At 40.5% G+C, this 7,502-nt stretch overlaps 3 annotated features.

Annotated features, from left to right (window-relative positions):
- Positions 1,621–2,181: an enhancer, noted in NCBI's record as "NANOG hESC enhancer chr10:82658234-82658794 (GRCh37/hg19 assembly coordinates)". NCBI's record gives its function as "activates a minimal SCP1, AML or CMV promoter by ChIP-STARR-seq in naive H9 embryonic stem cells {active_cell/tissue: H9 hESC(naive)}" and the evidence as "EXISTENCE:reporter gene assay evidence [ECO:0000049][PMID:30033119]".
- Positions 4,840–5,040: a silencer, noted in NCBI's record as "peak1031 fragment used in MPRA reporter construct". NCBI's record gives its function as "represses an SCP1 promoter by STARR-seq MPRAs in K562 erythroleukemia cells {active_cell/tissue: K562}" and the evidence as "EXISTENCE:reporter gene assay evidence [ECO:0000049][PMID:32103011]".
- Positions 5,793–6,672: an enhancer, noted in NCBI's record as "OCT4-NANOG-H3K27ac-H3K4me1 hESC enhancer chr10:82653743-82654622 (GRCh37/hg19 assembly coordinates)". NCBI's record gives its function as "activates a minimal SCP1, AML or CMV promoter by ChIP-STARR-seq in naive and primed H9 embryonic stem cells {active_cell/tissue: H9 hESC(naive and primed)}" and the evidence as "EXISTENCE:reporter gene assay evidence [ECO:0000049][PMID:30033119]".

Raw genomic sequence — 7,502 nt, 5'->3', positions numbered from 1 at the left:
GGAGGATGAAGTCTGCAATGTACCCTATTTCTGTGGCATGCCTGGATCTGACTAGACCGGGCTTTCTCACCCTCAGCACTATTGGCATTTTGGGCCAGATAATTCTTTGTTGTGCAGATTGTCCTGTGCATTGTAGGATGTTAGCAGAGTCTCTGGCCCCTACTCAGTATATGCCATACCACTGTCTCCCCAGTTGTGACATTCAAAATGTCTCCAGACATTACCAAATGTTATCGGGCAGGAAAATCACTCTCAGTTGAGTACTACCAGATTCAACTAGCAAGAGTAATTGGGACTAACTCTAGACTCATGTTGCTTGTAGTAATTGGGGAAATGTATTCAGCTAAAGTTTCTGCTATGTAACGTTGGATGCATATATGCCACCACGTAGTAACAACTAAAGACAGCTTCCTCCACTCCAGCTGATCAAGTTCACAGAGTCGGACCAAGGGAAACCGAGTTTGAATCACTTCGAGTTCAACAGTTTTCCAGCACGTGCAGGAGGAAAGCAGAGGTTAAAAGTGAGGCTTTTGGACAAGGAGCAATGGTGTGCTGGAGCAAGCTCACACCTGATTGCAAGGATCTCTTCCCAACTCCATGTTCAGTGACATCATATTTGTAGCTTGAAATCAGCCAGGATGAAAGTATTTATACCACAAAATTGGCAGGTGCTATAATGGAGGGATTTTTGTTGGTTTGTTTTAATTTGGTTTTTCTCCCAGACAGCCAGTTGTTAAACATTTATTTGCCAGCACACCACTGGCTAGGAGTGAGGTGCTACATACACTGAGTATGTTGGGAGCTGTGGAAAAGAGGAGCAGCTAGATCCAGTTTTGTGAGATCCTAAACCTTTTAGGAAGAACTTCTCAAGAAGAATAGCTCTGTTACAGTTAATGATTTTGAGATGATATTCAATAATTTTTAGTCAATAGCTTTATATCTGTGTCTCGGAAGCCCTATGTATCTCCTGTCATGGGTATGCAGCAAATAAAAAGCAAAATTAGAATTGGTCATCATAGGCAGAATAATTATACCAAAGTAGATCAATACCCACTCCCTGAAATTTAGGCTGCCCTGGTAGCTTATGAAGGGAATCAATAATATTCAGAATCAGATCTAAAGAGTGGATACCTTCAGATGCCCACAGATGAGGATGCTAGAAAGATGCTCATTTATGATCAATTAAAAAGGATGCCTCAGAGTGTTACTAGGTCCTCAGCCACCTTCCAGTGGCTAAAACTAAAAAAATATATATATAACATATTTAAATGTATAGTTCAAAAATACTTTTCCTGAAATAAAAGAATATTTGAATCCCAATTTTAAAAGAGCATGTAGTAACTGGAAAAGCTGATCTAGATTGATGACTCCAGGACATTCCTCAGTAAAATTATTTTAAACTTTTAAAATGCAGAGAATACTACAGGCCTATGCCAAGGATTATCCTCCAAAATGGCAATCTTTTCATTAACTTGATTGAAAGTTACTAATATAGCATTAGGATTCTTTCCTGAGAGGGCACAGTGTCAACTCCATTTTGACTAAGAGAGGCTGAGCTATATCTGTGAGCTGGCATTGAGAACATTACTCATTGAATATTCAGTGTCCCTTGGCTGGCTTACTAACCCAGAAGTTCTTTTTATATTATGTTCAACCAATCTGTAGGATTTGAAAGCAGCCAGTGGAATTCCAGGGCAACAAAAACCCACTGCAATGTCTTTTTAGAGGTTATCCAATAGCAAAATTTTGGATTCCATTCATAAACTATAGTTCTTAGTAAATTCAGTTATCATAAATTTAATGAACACGTATGTGAAGTACCATTTCAAGTGAGGACCAGCTATAACCTTTCATCTATGTGCTCATCGGTGAATAACAACAACAAAAAAATGTGGATGTCACAACTTCCTCTCCTGAGGTGATTAACAAGTGTTTGAAGACATTCTTTTGTGAGCCCAGCTTTATATCACCAAGACTGTCCTTTGGAATGTGTACCCTCAGTTGCAAGAAAATAAAGGTAAAATTTTTTCTCTTTAATATTTCATAACTTTGTTCTTCTAAAATGTTGACTCAACGAAAATAAATCACTCATATTTAAAATTAAATGAATCCATAAAACAAGGTTTACAGTATTTCCAACATTTATATTTTCACATTTACAATGGTGATTTTGAAATACCTAGAGTATAAAAATAAAGTTTTATGATTCAACTCAATTGAATTATCCCATCAGGTGAAGAGTAATCTCTTTTTCAAACATATACATATAGCACACTCACATATAATGTATTAACACACAACACACACACCTATATAATGTATAACATACACATAATTGACCTATTGCAATTAGAGGTTATAAATATACCAAAATACCTTCTCATTACTGAGACTTTATGTCCGTAAAGTAAAACTTTTATAGGTTTTTGGTAGTAAGGCATATTAAATTCAAAGCAACTTCTATTCTCCTCTTACATAAAAAAATAGGTCAGCTTATCCCAGATTATTCAAAAATCCATTTTTTCCAAGTATCCTACATGGTGAACTAACAAGTCCTATTGTATTTCACAGTGGGAGTTGTTACACACCATTAGTTAAGCTATTTGTTCTCGTTTGAGATTTGACATAAACATTAGTGTAGCTATTATTGCAACCATAAGATACATACATGATTTATCTGCTTTTTATCTTTCAAAAAAACTGCATTCTCTTAACGTGGTATTTGTATGTGTTTTGAATTATAATCGTATATATCTGGAGAACAGCCGTATTTAAAATCTGTGATGCAGAAACTAGATCACTGGATTTGGAGTGAGAAACAAGAGACTAAATGCTGGTAAGCCATACGAATCTGCAAAGAAGTAAGAGCCAAGGGTCTGTCTCCCAGGCCTTCAGGAGGCTCCCAAGACAGCACAGCGGTGGCTCTCCAGGCGTACATGTCACAGCCAGTTTCCTAAGGAAATAGCACCTGAGAAGAGACAGGCAAAACCTTGTTCCTCTGCCATAAGCATCAAGTGTTATCTGCAAGTTCAACCCCACATGCAGAACTGGGAAAAGCCCTACCCATAGAAGGAGATTTCCAAAGGGCAGAATAACAGACCTGATAAAGAAGAGACAGCATTTGAAATGGAGATTTGGTTGAAAAATTATGCAGAACTCACCCAATTCTACCCCAGCCATTGGCCCTTATTGGTAGGTATCCATATCTAGAGGAGAATTTAATTTTAGCAATATAGATAAAACAGGAAATGTGAAAGCTACTATTTTCATTACCCACACAATGGGTGGGTTCAATCACCTGGCAGGTGACAGTCCAATGACCACAACCAAGGAGGATGTAACGAGGAGATTTTATTATTTGCAACAAGTAAGGAAGACATCCAGGATAGTTCCCGAGATAGCTCCTCCCCGAACAATGGTAAAAACAGGGATTTTACTGGGCTGGTCAGCTGAGTCATCGTATGTAGCGGAGGAGTAAAGGCAGTGCAGGTGCAGTTACTGATCATGCTTTTACCCACATCACAAGTACAAACCAAAGGGAAAATAAGCTCCTCCCTGGGCAAGGGTTTTAGTAGGGTACTGAGGAGAGTTCACCAAAGTTTATCTCCAACTCAGCTATCTCTGGATCCAACTCGTTTTTGTTTTTCCAGGGCTGAGCTTCTTCCTAGAACATTTTGAGATGACAAAGAATTCACGGTGCCACAGTTACAAGTGGGTAGTTTTTCACCGTGCATATCCAAAACCCTAGGACCTTGGGTTACAGTTTCTGGAAAAAAAACAAACAATATTATTCAGAGATTGGGTGTGCAGGGCCAAGGTCTGCAATACCTGCTTGGTTCTCTGCACAGCATCGTCTCATCCCTCTCCTCTGTGGCAGCCACTTAGATCCCTCAGGCAGTCTCATTCCTGTCCCACACCCATACTCCTCACTTTATGAGGGACTTAAACAATGTTAGTTTGGACTAGATTTTATCTCAATCCCAAGTTGCAGCTCACTAAAGCTAACCACTATGCCATGCTGCCTGCAAAGATGACAGCCTTGGATCCTCTCCAGGCAAAATCATATTTTCAGACACCAAGCTTCTGCTCCAATTTCCCTGTTTTCTCAGTGGAGATGGTGTTTTATGACAGGGAACGGGTGAATTCCTCTCCTGCTCCACATTATAAAATCCTGGTCAAAATATCTATAATAAAATGCAAGACGAAAGGTGAGCAGTGAGGCTGACAGCTGGAAAGGGCCAAGAGTATATGCTTTTTTATAATGCCGTGGGGCTTTGCTGGAGGGCTGCAGTTTTGAATTGGCAGCTGTTTCATCTTAATGTAGAAATATCAACTATAAACAGGAGACCCATATCTCTACATGTGCCCGTGGTATTCTGGTATTCAGATCAGATCTTTTCCTGGGGCGAATATAGACTTACTGTTTTTTGCAAGTAGTCATTGACCCTGGGAAAAATGATAAGTTGCTAAGATAAAAAATGGAGCAGCCTCATAGTTTAGTCAAAGACAACACATTAGAGGATTTTTTTCCTGTCTCTCCTTAACGTAAAATATTCACAACCTCCTTCAGCCTTAGTTTCTTCACTCACAAAATGCATAATTTCTTCTCTCTCCTCCTGCTTAGCAGTTAGGGGAAACAAAGGCAGAAATGGTCATAGCTTCTGGAATAAACAGTCTAATAAAGGAGAATGACTGTAAGCATATCCTCCATGTAGGGTAGATCCATTTGAATATACAAATTTAAAAGGGGAATGATATAAAAAGACACATTTTGTGAAAAACCAGCCTTTCTTCACTGAGGACTTCGTTCACAGCAAAGATGAGAGGTAAAGTTACCAAACTCTTCCTCTACGCAATCACTACGCTGGGTTCTGCTTTGTTTTTAAGGAATTTCCAGTGTCATTGTCATATTGGAAGCTTATAATTCCTCTCATCATGTGTTAGGAGCACCACGCACCAGACAGTGATCTGACAGGAACCTTCACTATGTTAACAGGTCCAAGAAACCAGGAAACAATATCAAGGAAACAATATCAGAGTTATCAATATGATTTCATAGAATCATGATACATTTTTAGATTCCAAGCTAACATTCAGGGAGAGCCCTTGGCCTTTTTTTACTCTTGTTTCTCACTGGGTTCCAGTTTGGACCATTTCTATTGGCCTGACTCCAATGTTCACGTTTCTTTCCTCAGCTGTGTCCAGTCTGTGGAACGGGAGGTAGGAATTGAGTCAGTCTGGTGAGTAAGGTGAGCAGAGGTGGGGTTTGGGGTGCTAGGTTACCTTCAGTGCCGCATGGATCTGAATTCCTCTAGTGGTGAGCCGCTGCTGCCTGCTCTTCATGCCCCACCCTCAGCCGTCAGTGGTCCCTGCTGCTCTCCTCCCTGCACCTGCCCAGAGCTAGCCCACTGGTGCTGGCTACCTGGTGCTGGGTTGTTGGTGGAGGCAGGCATGTTTCCTCAGGTGCAGCCTCAGACCCAGGCAGACCTGGAGCACCTGGGCCACATAAGCGGGCTTTTCTCAGCGTTCTTGCTCCTATCCTGCTCCCAAAAGGCAGGAGAGAGTGCACCGTAAGTCCCCCAGGTGTAGACAACTCAGTTCCCTCAGGTGTAGATAATTTTGGCTCACTCTGCTCTCCCAGCAGTGGTGGACAGCCTGGATGCTGGGAGCTGAAGGGCTTCCTCTCCTCCACCAGCGGCTTCAGGTCTTGCCTGTGAGGATGGCAGGCCTCTCGCCTCTGAAGGACACCATTCCAGGCCCCTATCCTACCTCGTCTTTGTGAGGGAGTCCCTGGAAAAGAGCTGGTGAGTGACAGCAGTCATCTCTCGTGTCTGGGACACCCAGGGTTTCTAAACTGCCATGTTGGTTCATATTCAGCCTTTAAGATGTAGTATTTGTTTTAGCTTTTTTTCTTTTTTACCCAATTCTGTGGCGGCCCCCTCTTCCCACCATGAGCTGCCAAAACTGAAAGAGCTCACGTGCCTCTTTCCTTGTCATTCTTTGGAATTCTGTCTACCTGGTTGCCTTTGGACCTCAGCTCCCTGATGGGCTCAAGAAAAGTTAGGACCGTGTAGATAACATGACTTTTTATTAGGGTGGAAGGCACCTTCAGTTTTGCTAATGTCTACAGCCTTTAAGGAAGCAGAACTCCTTTGTTCTTTTTTCATGCAAATTTTAAAGTCATCCATTTCCAACCAGGCTAAAAAACAAAAAAAACAATAAAAAACCCTTCTCTTCTAGGAAGAGAACTTCCTCAAGAAACAAAGACCACAGATGTTTTTTCCTCTATGCTGAGTCCTTTGATCTTTGAGTACTTTCCTGCTTGTAATTCTTAAAGCCACAGCTCCAGGTAATTAATGGTTGGAAAGTTTTTACAAGAACAGCATTTTCTACAGTGCTTTTTAGAGAATTCTACTTCCTATGGATGGTAGTTGGTGTTATTCTTAAAGCAGGATTCAAAGGCGCTAAAGTTTAGTAAGTGCTAGTTTTAAAAAAAAATTTAAGATTTCTCTACTACAAAACTTTTTAAAGCTTTCTTTGCACATTCTATGTCCCGTAACTTTGCAAGTACAAAAACACTGCCACATGATTACACATAAATCTTTGTGCACGTGCAAAAGCATATCGGTAGACCAAGTCTTGAAAGTGCAATTCTTGGTTCAAGTGGTATGCATTTTTATAAAATCTTTATTCAAATTCACACTTTATATGATACAACAAAAGTTATACCAGTTTACCTTCACAAATAGTACTTTAATATTTCCATTTTCTTTTTTTTTTTTTTTCTGAGACAGAGTCTCACTCTGTTGCCCAGGCTGGGGTACAGTGGTGTGATCTCACCCCTCTGCAACCTCCACCTCCTGGGTTCAAGCAATTCTCCTGCCTCAGCCTCCCGAGTAGCTGGGATTACAGGCATGTGCCACCATGCCTGGCTAATTTTTGTATTTTTAGTAGAGTCAGGGTTTCACCATGTTGGCTAGGCTGGTCTTGAACTCCTGACCTCAGGGGATCCATCCGCCTTGGCCTCCCAAAGTGCTGGGATTACGGGCATGAGCCACCATGACCAGCCACCATTTTCTTATACATACTTAGTAACCCTGTATATTCACTAACACTCTTCTAAAACATGCCAATTTCATAGGAAAAAGATCATGTCTCTGACTCTCATTTGCATATTGGCAAAGTGTGTGTGTGTGTCCAAAGTACAGTACTTAGTTTGTGCTTCTTTTTCTACTGGGTTAATCTATTTAGTTGGAAAAGTTCTTCATGCGTTAAAGAAATGGGAGCTTTTTCTATACACAACAATTTTTTATTTTGCCGTTTGTCTTCTAACGTTGTTAGTGAGGTTTGTTCTTGTTCATAAATGCTAATTTGCATGTAGTCAAGTTGAGCAATCATTCTTTTATGGTTTGCAAGTTTCACGCCATGCTTTAAAAGAACTTTTCCACTCAAAATTATATTTTAAAAGTCACTAAACTGTTATTTGTTATAAAAGTAGTGAT

The sequence above is a fragment of the Homo sapiens genome, chromosome 10, assembly GCF_000001405.40.
Source record: "Homo sapiens chromosome 10, GRCh38.p14 Primary Assembly".
NCBI classification, from domain to species: Eukaryota; Metazoa; Chordata; class Mammalia; order Primates; family Hominidae; genus Homo; species Homo sapiens.
Note: the sequence above shows the minus strand (reverse complement) of the source record. Positions and strands in the feature narration are given on the sequence as shown.